Source organism: Homo sapiens, chromosome 4 (genome assembly GCF_000001405.40).
Source record: "Homo sapiens chromosome 4, GRCh38.p14 Primary Assembly".
NCBI lineage: Eukaryota > Metazoa > Chordata > Mammalia > Primates > Hominidae > Homo > Homo sapiens.
This window is the reverse complement of record NC_000004.12, coordinates 25,899,018-25,914,132: the sequence shown is the minus strand read 5'-3', so window position 1 is coordinate 25,914,132 and position 15,115 is coordinate 25,899,018. Positions and strand designations below refer to the sequence as shown.

At 45.9% G+C, this 15,115-nt stretch overlaps 2 long non-coding RNA genes across 5 annotated transcripts in view, besides 3 other annotated features; one reads left to right on the top strand and one right to left on the bottom strand.

Annotated features, from left to right (window-relative positions):
* Positions 8-187: a silencer, noted in NCBI's record as "silent region_15328". NCBI's record gives its function as "represses an Ori minimal core promoter by ATAC-STARR-seq in GM12878 lymphoblastoid cells {active_cell/tissue: GM12878}" and the evidence as "EXISTENCE:reporter gene assay evidence [ECO:0000049][PMID:35858748]".
* Positions 8-626: a biological region, named in NCBI's record as "H3K27ac-H3K4me1 hESC enhancer GRCh37_chr4:25915129-25915678".
* LOC105374538 (uncharacterized) lies at positions 40-13,323 on the top strand. Of its 4 annotated transcripts, none has more exons than XR_001741633.2 (3): positions 40-122; positions 1,066-1,400; positions 7,299-10,529. It is a non-coding gene; the product is annotated as an uncharacterized LOC105374538 (long non-coding RNA). The 4 variants fall into 4 exon arrangements; XR_925502.3 differs by lacking the exon at positions 1,066-1,400 and adding an exon at positions 12,898-13,323 and having other exon boundaries at positions 47-122; positions 7,299-7,453; XR_925500.3 differs by lacking the exon at positions 1,066-1,400 and having other exon boundaries at positions 47-122; positions 7,299-7,453; positions 8,631-10,529.
* Positions 77-626: an enhancer, noted in NCBI's record as "H3K27ac-H3K4me1 hESC enhancer chr4:25915129-25915678 (GRCh37/hg19 assembly coordinates)". NCBI's record gives its function as "activates a minimal SCP1, AML or CMV promoter by ChIP-STARR-seq in primed H9 embryonic stem cells {active_cell/tissue: H9 hESC(primed)}" and the evidence as "EXISTENCE:reporter gene assay evidence [ECO:0000049][PMID:30033119]".
* The window catches only part of LOC102723733 (uncharacterized), a 44,562-nt gene continuing 37,891 nt past the window's right edge, over positions 8,445-15,115 (bottom strand). Inside the window, exon 2 of the long non-coding RNA XR_427503.5 lies at positions 8,445-9,845. This is a non-coding gene — a long non-coding RNA (uncharacterized LOC102723733). The remainder of the gene's footprint in view (positions 9,846-15,115) is intronic.

The following is a 15,115-nucleotide window of genomic DNA, read 5'->3' as shown; positions in this document are numbered from 1 at the left end:
GGGCCTCAAGGCTGGGGGCGGGGCCAGGAAAGGGGTGGGGTCACAGGCGGGGCCTCGGACCCCGCCCTCCGCCTTCCCCGGGATTCCGTGCTGTGCGGGCCGGGCGCTGGCGTTGGATTGAGGTTGGAGCTGTTTTGCTGCACTCGATTCCCGCGGGCCCTGTTCTGTCTACTTTCCTTCCTTCGGCCCGGTTCCTCCCTCAGCACCCTCCAGACCTCCTTTACCATCGCCTTCTTTACCAGCCAGCTTTCTCGTCCATCCCCCGTTAATTTCTTAATTAGCGACTGTCCGCCGTGCGCCAGATGCTCTCTGTCGCTCGCGCAATTAATCCTTTTATCAGTCTGCTTAGTTTACAGGAGAGGGAACCGCGGCTCCGCTGCGCGGCTTTGGACGAGTCACTCGTCCTTCTTGAGGGAGGTTTGTACGTATCAGAGACAAAGGGGCAAATCTCTGGCCCGAGAGGGCCTGCTGGGGGATTCTAAAACCGGAGCTGCGGGGCTTCTGCACCAAGACTAGCCTAGGAGGAACGTTGTTTCAGCATCCGAGCTACTCTCTTTCTCCATCCCATCCTCTCTCCCTCCATCCCATCCTCTCTCCCTGTTCCCTGTGCTGGGATGCCTTGGCCAAGGCAGAGAGCCAGCATCCGGTCCCATCCATGGGGCCACGGGGCGCTTCCGTATTGTCTGGGTGGGGGCCACCGAGAACAGATACCTGTTTCCTCCTCCTCAAGTTGCCATCCTCCGCCCTCTGCACCACACTGCCCTTACAAGTGGGCTGTGCCTGACTATGACCTGCCCAGGGATACTGGGCAGCTGAGACACAGATTCCTTGGGCCTCCATGCCTTTATAAATAGGAATCATGCCAGCAGCTGGGCCTGGGGAGCAAAGAGGATATCTGTCTTGACCCTAGCAGCATTATTTAGGCCACAACAGATCTACAAGCGTTTCAAAATAGCTTGGAGAGGACAGGTTTCCTCTTTCTTTGTAATCTTGTAGTTGCATCAAGCTACTGTCTACCTCTGTGGCTCTAGAAGCATGTAAATCAGTTATTCAATCTCTCCCCAGATTCATGGACTATCTGCCATGCCCCAAACACCAGGCAGAGTGCTAAGGGGACACAAAGATGAATAAGATGTGACCCCTGCTCTCTAGGATCCTGTCGCATAGATGAAGAGATAGAACATATCCATAAAAAGATAACTAATGACCGACATTGCGTGCTGCCGACACGTGTTATGGTCCTGCGGGCTACAGAAATTCAGAGGAGGAAGACAGATGACTGCAGTGTGGCAGCTGCTCCTCGGGCACTTACAGGAGCTTGTTAGGATGAGGACAGAAGACTTCATAGCACAGAGGGAACTGTGACACCAGCTTTATATCACACGATAGAAAATACCCAGGTGAGGGCTGTGGACAGTGGCTCACGCCTGTAATCCTAGCACTTTGGGAGGCTGAGGTGGGTGGATCATGAGGTCAGGAGTTCGAGACCAGACTGGCCAGCATGGTGAAACCCCGTCTCTACTAAAAATACAAAAAAATTAGCCGGGCGTGGTGGTGCACGCCTGTAGTCCCAGCTACCTGGGAGGCTGAGGCAAGAGAATAGCTGGAACCTGGGAGGCAGAGCTTGCAGTGAGCTGAGATCGCTCCACTGCACTCCAGCCTGGGTGACAGAGTGAGACTCCGTCTCAAAAGAAACAAAAAACAAAAAGAAAGAAAATACCCAGGTGTAGTGGGCATCGTCGTTTTATCAGCCCTGTGGCCACTTCCCTTTTTTCTGTGAATAGTACCCCAAGTATCTTTCTGGGACCCACTCTTTTCCCACTCTTGGTCCATGAGATAACCTAGGACTCCCCATCCTCATCCTACTTCTTCCCAGCTCTGAAAGTTAAGCATAAGGGCCTGACCAAGCTTCCTCGTCACAGGGATTGGTTGGCACCCAGGACTCAGTCTTGAGGTTAGTATTGATTAGGAGTCAGTCCTGAACACCTAATGTAGTTGCATCCTCCTGGCCACATGACCCAAGCTGAGCCAACCATAGTCTATTCCAGCTACTGGAAAGTTGGATTTGAACTTGAGCGAATGAGACTCGAGCTACTGGGGGCCATCATTTAGGAACTGAAAAGGAAGTCAGTACAGCAGAAGGAGGGCTGAGAGGTGGGGAGAAATCAGATGCTAGTGTTGCATTTGTGCCAGCTGTATCTCAGAAGAGCTCTACCCCTAGACTGCTCAGTAACATGAGCAATAGAGTCCCCCTTTCTCTGAAGCCAGTTTGAGTTGGGTTCTGTCTTTTACAACAGAAGGAGTTCCAGATAAAATCTCTGAGGATGTGACTCCACTTGGAGCTGCAAGGCAAGGATTACTGAGCTGCAAGGCAAGGATTACTCTATTTTATAGATCTGGTCACTGACAGCCAGAGACCAGAACTCTCCTGAGGTCACACAGCATTGGCCGAGGTCTTAGCTCTTGTGATGTCTGATCTGAAATGCTCCTCCATGAGATCTTGCTGTCTCCATGAGCAAGCTTGGCAGGATGGCCAGCCAAGCCCTGCTCACGGGCACCTGCAAGCCAGTAAGGAGCGTTGCCAGGAGAACAGAGCATCGTGATGAGGTACTGGGAGTGCCTCTAAGGCAAGGACAAGTCCATTGTGGCAGATGAGCCTCTCCCTCTCCAAGGTGATGTGCCAAGTGACTCGTGGTTTCTCTTGTCTCCTTGATGCTGATCTAAAGGCGTTAGTTGACCAGCAGAAATGATTAGGCCATCTAGATCATTTGTATAGGTAATTGACATCAACACACCAGAAAACAGTTACCTATCACTTACTTGCCACTGAGTCCTGCCAAATGCAAGCTCATCTCTTTGATTCCCGTGTTTTCCCCATTTCTGAGAAAACCACACTCCTCCAGTTTTTCTTTTCCCTCTGACCTATCAATTAAATCAGCAAATACTTATTGTGTGCCTACTCCCATGCAAAACATTGTACTAGTTGATTGGGAACACAGAAGGAATCATTCAATATTTGTGAATTCAGTAATGGTTCATTGAGCCAGGCACAATATGCCAGATGCTTTTCAGGTGCTGGTGAACACAGCGGTGAGGAAAACAGCAGAATCTATTGTCCTCATGGTGTCCACAGTCTGGTGGAGGGATAAGATGTAGTAGAGGATAGTAATTGTTTTTTGGCCACCCACTGTGCCTTGATAAAAACTGATGTCTTTTGGAGAATGACCTCTTATCTTGGCATTTTTGGATAGACTGCAATTTCAGGGGCCTTGTGTATTCCTAATCAATGCTAACATCAAGATTTGTAGAACACTTGCCCTCTATAGTCAGTATCACAGGTTTGCTCACTTTGTGCTCACCAATACCTATGGATAGGTATCCTCATGTTCAGAGGGGGAAGCTGGGGCATACTGAGAATGACTTGATCACATGGCTGGTAAATGGTGGAGCCAGGATTCAAACCGAGCCTGGCTAGTTCCAGATACTGCTCTTAACCACCAATCTACAATGTTTTATGATGTCAGGGAGCTTGGTTGCCTGGGTGTGGGGATGATCCAGCTGGATCATTTGGTCCAATTGTTCTTTTTCTCCCAGAAATAAGGACGATGAAGACAGTGACGCAAAGACGGACAGCATTGTTGGAGTAGCTGTCTTCCATTGCTAATGTTCTGATGTGATCATCGTATACCTCCCACTTGCCTGTAATCCTGGAGCTTCCCTGGTTGTTTCCCCTTGCAGTCTGATTCTTGAGCGTTCATTATATTCTGCAGGCCACCCCATATGCTTCCAATAAAGTCCCTTTGGACTTAAGTTAGAGTCAGTTTCAGTGGCATGCCACCAGGAGTGCTAATAGATACAGAAATTAACACAATTACCTCCTACACATGGCATGGATGAAAGCACTTGGGGCTTCATCACTGTGCTAATGTTTGGGAAAGGCAAAGGAAGTTTGAGTTTGGGGGAACGTATTTGTGTAAAGGGAGAGAGAGCTCCAGGGATGTAGGGAGACAGGATGCAAGTCAGATATGTCGGCAGTCCTAGGGTGCATATTTTCATCTCAATCACTGGGGGGAAGAATTGGGTTGGGCTCCTCTCTGGCACTTTCTCCCTCTTCCCTTGGATGTGAAGATTGAATGCTTGCAGGGAGCAGACTGCCAGTGGTGTATCGCACAGGGTTCAGACAGACATCAAAGTTAATCCGCTGTCTGATCTAAGCAAAATGATGATGAGGGTTTCCTGGGACAGCAGCTTTACTAATTGTGGCACTGCAGCCTAGCGAATGTATTTTTAGAATGTTGTGGATTCCCAAGAAATAATGTTACTGGCTGTAGAAAAACAGACTTGAAGCTTGGGGCTTGGAACAGAGTGGGATCTCATGCAGAACCTCTGGGCTGGTGCTGCTGAGAATAAGAGAGTAAGTGGGGAAAATGCTTCTCTGTTTTTATGGGGTTCTGTGACTTGCTGAGTCTCTGCCCATCTGTATAAGTATATATAGGTTTTTCTTCTTTGACTCTTTCCATGTAAGAGATTTCCCCAAAATGTCCATCTCAGCTAATCTCTTGCTATGCTCTGCACCCCGTAATTTTAACTCATGTCTTTATGACTTCCAGACTATTTGCTCTGCTGAACTCCAGCGTCACTTGCCTGGTGGACAGCTTCAGGTTCAAGGCCCACTTGCTCCTACTCCTCCTCACTGTCGTTGACCTTGGCTTGACTTGAGTCCTCATCAGCTCTCCCTTCCTATGGCTTCCTAACTGGTCTTGTCTGTCCTCTTCCATCAGTAAACTGTCTTATTCACAGGGTGATATGGTTTGGCTGTGTCCCCACCCAAATCTCATCTTGAGTTGTAGCTCCCACAATTCCCACATGTTGTGGGAGGGACCTGGTGGGAGGTAATTGGGGACGGGTCTTTCCTGTGCTGTTCTCGTGATAGTGAGTAAATCTCACAAGATCTGATGGTTTTATAAAGGGGTGTTTCCCTGCACAAGCTCTCTTCTCTTGTCTTCTGCCATGTGAGACAAGCCCCTCACCTTCTGCCACGGTTGTGAGGCCTCCCCAGCCACGTGGAACTGTAAGTTCATTAAACCTCCTTCTTTTGTAAATTGCCCAGTCTTGGGTATGTCTTTATCAGCAGTGTGAAAACAGACTAATACACAGGGTGATTTAAATTACCTTCTGAAGACATAGATCTGGTCCATCACTGCCCTGACCAGAGCCTCAAGCTATTGTCAACAGGTCATTAAAGGCACCCACTGCATCCATGCGCCTCTGCTGAGTGAAACAATGGGTCTCTGTGTCTAGGTTGCTGTGCTCTGTGCCTGTGGTCACAGCTGATGGAGCCATGTGGATGTCTGACCCAGACCAGAGTTAAAGGTCAAAACCTCTGCCTAAATGGAGAATGGGCTGACCTAATCAGATTCTCTGTTTCTGGAACTTCAACTGGAAAACCAGGGAGAATCAGGAGGTCAGCAGAAGGAACAGACGGTGGACAGATGCACAAAAAAACACAGTAGCAGCTCGAGGGGAGCTGTGAGTAAGCCGTGGTTATGAGTCAGCAGGAGCTGTGAGAGGAAAGCTCTTAGCGAGTAGATGGGGTGGGAATTGCCTGGGAATACAGGAAGCAGAGAACACTGGAGGAGAATTAAAATGAAGATCCACAAACTCCTCCTGCTGAGAAGTAACAAGATACCTCAAGCCCTACGATTGCCTGGGATTCATTTATTCATTCACTATTTTCTACCATTTTTGTGGAGCACCCACTATATGCCAGGAACTCTTCTAAGCATTATACAAAATCTTTGTTATCATGGAGCATGTATTGTAGTTGGAGAGGCAAATGATAATTATATATATCATTTTTCTTTTTTTCTTTTTTTGGAAACAGAGTCTCACTCTGTTGCCCAGGCTAGAGCGCAGTGGCGAGATCTTGGCTTACTGCAACCTCCGCCTCTCAGGCTCAAGCAATTCTTGTTCCTCAGCCTCCCAAGTAGCTGGGACTACAGGCATCAGCCACCACATCCAGATAATTTTTTGTATTTTAGTAGAGACGGGATATATATATAGATAGATAGATAGATAGATAGAGAGAGAGAGAGAGAGAAAGAGACAGGATCTCACTCACTCTGTCACCCAGGCTGGAAGGCAGTGGTGTGATCATGGCTCACTGCAATCTCCAGCTCCTGGGCTCAAACCATCCTCCTACCTCAGCCTCTGAGCTGGAAGCATAGGTGCACGCTACCACACCTGGCTAATTTTTTGTATTTTTTTAGAGATGGGTTTTTGCCATGTTGCCCAGGCTGGTCTTGAACTCCTGGGCTCAAGCGATCTGCCCCCCTTGGCCTCCCAAAGCGCTGGGATAACAGTTGTGAGCCACCATGCCCGGCCAGATTTTTTTAAAAGGCAATAATACCATGCTGGGAAGAAAAATAGAGCAGGCAAGAGCACTATGGCAGGAGAAAGCAGTCACTCTTGAGGAGACCACAGAGACCTGAGTGAAGAGGAGGGAGCCATGTAAATATCTGGAAGAACAATCCTGGTGGCAAGACTTATGAGTGCAAAAGTGCTGAGCCCAGGGTGCTGTTCAAAGATCAGCGAGGAATCCAGTGTGGCCGGAACAGAGTGAGTGAAGGAGGCAGTGAAAGGAAATCAGATCATTGAGGTAGCCAGGGCAAGGGCACCATGCTGTGGGCCTCGCAGACCATGTGAAGGGCTTAGGATTTTGCTGTGCCTGTGATAGGAAGCCACTGGGGGATCTTGAGCAACTTCCAATTCCAGCGTCTCTCTGGGAGGTCCAGCTGCAATTTAGTTTTTATTCTATCCACAGATTCTTGTCTCCTTAACTCATAAAAATCCCATTGTTTCCCATAAAGCCCCTTTACCTGGAAGAGCAGAAATGAGTTTTCCTTCCTGGCAATGAAAAGAGCCTGCCCCCAAAGCCGCCATGATTGGGAATGAGCAACCATCTCAGCTTGGCTCTAGCCCATTTCTCCCAGCCCCCTGCACAGGCAGCTCTGGTCCATTTGCCAGGTGCTGCCCGCAACCTATCTTTACCCCACTCTGGGTTCTGCTCCAACTCATTCCTCTCTTTAGAATGACCTTCTCCTGTGAGTCTCTTGTCACAGACCTTCCTTCCAAGGATATTTTCAAATCCCACTTCTTCTAGGAACCCTTCCATGATCACTTGACTTGAAAGAACTCTCCTCTCCTAAACTCCTGTTTGGTTTATCTATGGCTGCATAACTAACTATCCAAAACTTAGTGCTTAAAGATGAAAACAACAATTGTACTATCTCTTGCAGTTCTGTGAGTTGACTGGGCATTCTGCATCACAAGGTGTGGCTGGGCACTGGAACAGCCGAAGTCACCTGGGAGCTGACTGGGTTGGACTGTCCAGGATGGTTCACTCCTACGACAGTGGATGCTCAACTGGGGCTGTCAACTGGAGCCCCCATAGGTAACATCTCCCAGCATGGCAGCTCTGTTCCAAGAGGGAGTGCCGCATGAGAATCAGGAAGCAGCTGCAAGGTTCCTCATGGTTTTGCCTTACAAGACACCCAGAGTTGTTTCAGCCTCATTCTGTTTGTCAACAGGTCACTGTTTCAAGGAGGAGGGGAACTAGACTCCAGCTCTTGATGAAAGCAGTGATAAGGAATTTGCAGTTCTAGTTGATCTACTGCAGCTTTCATGGTGTTTTTTCCATATACTGATTATATAATAGTATTTGTCACCTTTTGCCAAGCGCCACGTATTACAATTAAGTGTCTCTTTATCTCACAGGCTAGATTTTCAACTTCTGGTGAGAGATTGCATTTTTTTTTTTTTTTTTTTTTTTGAGACAGAGTTTTGCTGTGTCACCCAGGCTAGAGTGCAGCGATCTCGGCTCACTGCAACCTCCGCTCCCGGGTTCAAGCGATTCTTCTGCCTCAGCCTCCCGGGTAACTGGGATTACAGGTGCCTGCCACGCCCGGCTAATTTTCGTATTTTTAGTAGAGACAGGGTTTCACCATCTTGGCCAGGCTGGTCTCGAACTCCTGACCTCATGATCCACCCACCTTGGCCTCCCAAAGTGCTGGGATTACAGGTGTGAGCCACTGCGCCCGGCCGAGAGATTGCATTTTATTTAACCCAATTCTTTCAGTGACATAGCTATAATAACAATAAAGATGTATTAAGTTCCTCTACCATGTGTTTGATCCCATCTAATTGAACACATGATCTTATCTCATCCCTACCCTGATAGAATAGACGTCTCATTTTCCAGATTGGGAACTGAGGCACAGAAAGATTCAGCTTTGCCCAAAAACCACATAATGGACAAGTGGCAGAGCCAGGATTTGAACCACTTAAGAGCCTGTGTTTTTATTCTCTCTCTTCTAGTGCCATCTCACAGTCTTGGCACCATCTTAGTAGCTTCAGGCTGCTATAAAAAGTTACCATAGGCTGGATGGCTTAAGCAACAGACATTTATTTCTCATGCTTATGGAGGCTGGGAAGTTCAGGATCCAGGTGGAGGCTGACCCCATGTCTTTCTGGGAGGTCCAGCTGCTCCTGGACCAGATAGTGCCAACACAATACTTCTCATTGTGTTATGATTGCCTACAGCAGGTGAAGGCCTGCTTCCTGTTTTCCAGATGGCCGTCTTCTCATTGTATCTTAACATGGTGGAAGGAGAATGAGAAAGCTCGCTTGTGTCTCTTTTTATAAGGGCACTAATCCAGACGCGGAGGGCTCACCTTTACAACAGCTAAACCTGATCACCCCCCAGAGGCCCCATCTCCAAATACCATCACATTGGGGATTGTGCTTTGACATATGAATGTGGGAGGACACGAGCATTCAGTCCATAACAGGCACCAAGGCACCAAGTCAGTCTGCACAAGTGTGTCGCTGGGCAGAAGAACAAAAGAGAAGGAAGAAGAAAGAACACAGTACAGAAAGTGAGTGGCGGTACCACAAAGAGTCATCAGCAAGTGCTGATGGTGGCTCCGGCCAGCACATTCCAAGCATCCTTGGGTAGCCTGATAAATGGAGTGCAGAATGTTCGGTAGCTCTGCAAGGAGTGGGAGTATTTATTGGGTCTGAGTGCTTGATGCGAAACTTTCCTCCAAAGTTCCAATTTTCTATCCGCCAAGATAAGTGATGGAGGTTTATGGTTCATGTTGTAGCACATCCACCCAGGCCAAGGACCTACAACTCTGAATTTCTGGCCTGCCTCCTTCCAGCTAGAAGTGAATCTAGATTTACATGCCATCAGGAACAAGCATCGTCTTCCTGTTCTGTGAGTTCCTAGTTGTAGTAGGTACTGCTTTCATCCTGAGAATATCAATCTACATGCACAAGGTCCCTCTCTGTGGAGGAGTAGGTACTTAAACCCAAGATAAGTGGAAACTTTATATCCAAGGAGACAGAAAATAAAATTTCAGTATGTTTTATATTAAACAACTTATTATACTTCTATCCTTTTATGAACATAAGGTCATCAGTAGGCCAAAAGTCTGAAAACAGTCTCAGTTCCTCAATGTGAATGCAAACCATTAGTGCAAAAAAAAAAAAAAAATAGATAAAATTAAAAAATGAAAGCACAGATACTTTCTAGCCTTGCTGTCTTATAGCCCCATATTCATAGGACTGACCATTCCCCATCTATACCCACACCTTTCCCAAAGGACACTATCTGTGAATGGTGGCCACGCGTTTGGATGTTACAGAGCAAGCACGTTCTTCATTACTTCACAGACACAATTATGCAGCCCACGTGCATAGTGGAAGTCAGGAAAGCGTCTCCTGGTTGCCTGGTCAGCTGACATTCTCGATTCTTTATAGTCAATTGAGCCAGTCCTTAGCTCCTAGAAGAGTAAAACGATACATCCATTTATTAAAAGTACTACTTTAAGACATTAGAAAGTCTGAAATGTTGGAACTCTGCCAAGCAATAGAGAAATCCTGTGATGGTTAATTTTAGGTGTCAACTTGACTGGATCAGGGGATACACAGATAGCTGGTAAAGCATTATTTCTGGGTGTGTCTGTGAGCGTGTTTCTGGAGGAGATTGGCATTTGAAGCAGTGGACTGAGTGAGGAAGATCTGCCCTCACACAGTGTGGGTGGCACCATCTAATTGGCTGATGGCCCAGATAGAACAAAAAGGCAGAGGAGAGACAATTTTTTTCTCTCTCTTCTGGAGCTGGGGCACCCTTCTTCTCCTGCTTTTGGAAGCAGAATTCCCAAGTTCTTCAGCTTTTGGACTCCAGGATCTGAACCGTTGCTTCCCTGGGTTCTCAGACCTGCTGTCTTGGACTGAGAGTAACACCATCGGCTTCCCTAATTCTGAGGCCTTCAGCTGGGACTGAGCCACACTACCAGCTGCCCTGGGTCTCCAGCTTGCAAATGCCTGGCATGGGACTTCTCAGTTTCCAAATTGTGTGAGCTGATTCCCCTAATCAATCCCCTCTCATCTCTGTCTATCCATCCATCCATCTATGTTTTGTCTCTCTGGAAAACCCTGTCTAATATAAATCCATTCTGAAAATACCAGGTACAGTCATGTACTACGTAATAATGTTTCGGTCAACAACGAACCACATATATGATGATGGTCCCGTAAGATTACCCTATTTTTACTATACCTTTTTATTTAATATTTAGATATGTTTAGGTACACAAATACTTCCCATTGTGTTATGATTGCCTAAAGTTTTCAGTTCAATCACGTGCTATACAGGTTTGGAGCCTAGGAGCAATAGGCCACACCATATAGCATAGGTGTGTAGTAGGCTATACCATGTAGGTTGGGTAAGTACACTTTGATGCTCAGAAAATGGTGAAATCACCTAAGGATGCATTTCTCAGAATGTATCCTTGTTAAGTGACACATGAGTGTGCTTATGTGTGTAAGGTCAATAAAAAATGTCACAGGGGCTTTATCAAAGGCAGCATTATTTTATATGGACTATGGGTCCTATTGAATATTTTTGTCCTCTTCCTTGCCCACCACCCACCCCCATAAACATTACCCACATTGCAGCCAGGGCAAACATTTAGAAATTGAAATCTGATTTATGATCCCTTGTTAAGACATCCCAATAAAAGGCTTTTCAGGCTGGGATTGGTGGCTCATGCCTGTAATCCCAGCACTTTGGGAGAATGAAGCAGGTGAATTGCTTGAGCCCAGAAGTTTGAGACCAGCCTGAGCAACAAATTGAGACCCCCATCGCTACCAAAAAAAAAGAGAGAAAGAAAAAAAAAATTAGCCAAGCATGGCGGCGCATGCCTGTGCCACCACAACTACTCTGGAAGCTGAGGTGGGAGGGTGGGAGGATCGCTTGAACTTGGGAGATCAAGGTTGCTGTGTGAGCTATGATTCCTCTACTGCACTCCAGCCTGGGTGACAGAACAAGACCTTGTCACACACACACACACACACACACACACACACACACACACGAAAAAAATAGTAATGAAGCCTTTTCGATCGCTTAGAATAACATCCAGACATTTTACTATGTCCTAGAAGGTTCTAGGGGACTTGTCCCTGCTGACCTCTTCTACCTCACACAAGTATTATGCTTGTTCTTGAGCACATCCGGTCTGATCTAGCCTATGGGACTTTGTACTTACAGTTTCCTCTGCCTGAAATGCTCTGTGCTCTTGGCCTGGCTTTACTTGTTGCTATGGCTTGAATATTTGTCCTCTCCAAAACTCATGTTGAAACCTAATCCCCAATGTTGCAGTATTGAGAGGTGGGGCTTTTCAGAGGTGATTGGATCATGCGTGGATTAATCTATTCATGAGTTAATGGGTTATCACGGGAGTGGGACTAGTGGCCTTGCAAGAAAAGGAAGACAGCTGAGCTAGCACACACGGCAACCTTGCCACGCGATACCCTGAGCTGCCTTGAAACTGCAGAGACCCTAGGTGCAGCCCCTTGACCTTGGAATTCTCAGCCTTCATAACCATAAGAAGTATTTTTCTTTACAAATTTCCCAGTTTCAGGTATTCAGTTATAAGCAAGAGAAGACAAAGACACTTGTCATTTAAGTATCTCTTCAAGTGGTACTACTACCTCATAGGGCTGTACCTGACCACATGGTCTAAAGGGGTCCTCCCCCTTTTCACGCTGTATGCATCTTGCTTTTTATTCCAACACCCTCAAACTACCCATTTACATGTTAATTGTTGTCCCTCATTCTAGAAGGTAAGTGCAGGAACTTTGTCAACCTCCCTGCGGTGTGTCCACCACCTTCCAGAGGACTTGACACAGAGTAGGTGCTCAATAAATATTTGTTGAATGACTGGAGATACTTCGTCTATGCATTTAAGAGACAGTATTGCACAGGGAAGAAACTTGGGAACTTAACTTCTCTTGGGAAGGAAGGGGAAGCCCTGCTTCTCATTAATTATTTAATTACTTTCAAAGCTTGGGATTTCAGGAAGATTAAAAATCTTTCTCATTCCACTTGTCACAGCTAAATGCTCTCAGGCCTAATCACAGCACCTGTGATTCTTAAACTGATCACTGATGTCTGGTTTTCCTGTAGGATTAGCAGAGGAAGAAGGCATCTGCAGACTGTTACCATTGGCATCTTTTGAGATTTTTAATTAACGGAGTATTTTTTTTTCTTTCTCATTCATGGTCAGGGTTTTGATTAACTTGTAAGTGGAAATTTTGTCATGTAAAGGAGGTTAAAGGAGGGTGCTTGGGGCAGATGAGAGATGTCAGGGCTGCCCTTCGTTGCTGATGAAGAATTGGCGGTGCACCAGCTGGCGCCTCCATGTCTGCATGGGGCCACCCCCGACGTGGTAGGGCTGGGTATGCACCACAATCACGATTATGGGCTAGAGTGGATAATTGGGCTTGCGGAGACCTCTCTGCTTACCAGACATTTCTTTCTGTCTGCAGTGCCTTTGTGAACATGGGGGTCCCCAAGTTTTCAGCGGGTGAAGCCAGCAGGCAACAGCTCACACTGGCATTTTGTCAGTCGGGCACCTTTATCTTGGCATTTGGGCTTCCATCCAGGCTGCCTCAGCTCTTTTGAATGAACATGGCCTGCAAATAGTTCATCCACAGAGCTGGCTTGGCAGGCGAAGGCTTCTCAGCCCAAGCAGGGGGCTCGATCTGCCTGCTCTCCTTTCTGTGGCCTCGGATCCAGCCCTCACTTCTTACCTCCACCAGATTTGGAGTTTTCAGAGCTAACTGAGGCTTCGGGAAAAGTTCTGTGTTTGGACAAAGCTTTGCAATAAGGCAGATCTGGGTTTGAATCATCAATTTATTTAATCCTGAAAACCTCAATTTTATCTGTAAAATAAAGATGATAATCATAACCTAGCTCACAGATTTTTTTTGAGATTAAATAGCACACGGCACGCAAGGGGTTTAAACAGGAAATGTTGATTGTTTTTGTTTGGGTCAGGTTATTTGGGTTCAAATCTACTTGCGGCACCTTAACAAGATTTCATCTCTCTGAGACTCAGTTTCCTCATCTATAAATTGAGGATAATGCCTCTTGTGGTTGTGTGACAATGAAATGAATGTGCCAGATAGATAAATTTTCAATTGCTGTGCAAAGGGCTTACTAATTTCATCAATGAGTCATTCACATTTACCCCTGGCCATGAAATTAAGTTGAATTTCTCACAGAATCCTACACATGAATATGTCATCTGTCTTACTCATAAAAAAGAAAATGTAGAAATATAAAATTGGGAGGGCTATATGCAAACACTGTTGGAAAGTTTTTTTTAAAAAAAGGAAGAAGAAACAAATAGCATTAAAATGATTACTGCATGAATGACTGGGCTATTGTCCTCAGGGAAAATATTTCCCAGTTTGCTTAGTGTAGCAAAAAGAGGGAAAAAGAGGTTTAATAGTTATTTCAAAGCTATCTCCCCCAGGGAAATTAAACCTGAGTTGTGGGGTATTTTTCATAAAATCAGAGTATAAAACTAACAAGCGAAAAAAGAAAAAACTACTGTGACATGAACCTAAGTGGATTTAAACAGGGTTCTTCTCAATGGAAGGGCCCCTTGCACATTGGCATTCCTGCCCCTAAACTCGCTTTCACTCCCACTTTACCCCACTTGTACATAGTGGGACCTAGGTATATCCATAAAGAGTTACCTCACTTGGCCATGTTCCGGTCTTCCTTGCAGGGACATCCCAGTGTTATCAGCTGACATAATGATAGGCCCTCTCAGTCCACGTGACTCCCGCCAGCCTTCCTCATCTCTTGTAATAATTGATGTAGGTGTAAGGACCATAAAGGCAGTGAGGCATTTTTAAAAATTGGAGCAGCAAGCTCTTGTCTATAAGATATAGCTTCTGTTTTTATTTTTGCAGAAATTACACTGAGTACTTTTCTAGAAACCTGATGTTTTTTAAGCCTCATTTATCTTCTGTCCTGTGGGCCATTTCAAGGGCCAGAGGCATTTCTTATTAAACCTCTCCAGCATGTCTTTCTGAAATAGACCCCTTTTTTTTCTGTAGGGAACCCATTCCACGGGAGCCTGACTCTGCCCTTCCCTATTCACATGACCCAGAACTGGCAATGCACCTATCCTATGCTCTTGGTCGTAGTGGCTGATTCCAAGATAGGCACATGATCCAAGTCAAGCAAATCAGTATCTTCCTTGGATCTCTTCTGAGGTTGCAATCAGAAAAGGCTATCTCTATCCCCTAGGGTTGTTAGGTTGGTAAAATTCAGTGAGGCCACCAGTAGCCACGCGATGAAGGCCTGTCCAAGAGACAAAGGGCAAACTTGAGTAGCATTGTCTGGACTCTGGATCAAGCCAACCCTGATGCCAGAACTGCAGGGCATTATGTGAGCTAATAAATGCCCTCCACCCTGCTATTTTTGAATGATGTTTAAATGAGGATTATGTTACTGTGAACTGAATGCGTTTCTGATTAATATGGTTAGATTAGCCTAATATGTATTAGGGTTTTAAAAAAAAATCTTAAAGAATTGATATGATGAAATAAATATGGTATAAATATAAACTAGATGGTAGCATGTAGAGTTAACTTTTCCTTTTATATTTATTAGTCCATTTTCACACTGCTATAAAGAATTGCCTGAGACTGGATAATTTATAAGGAAAAGAGGTTTAATTGACTCAGC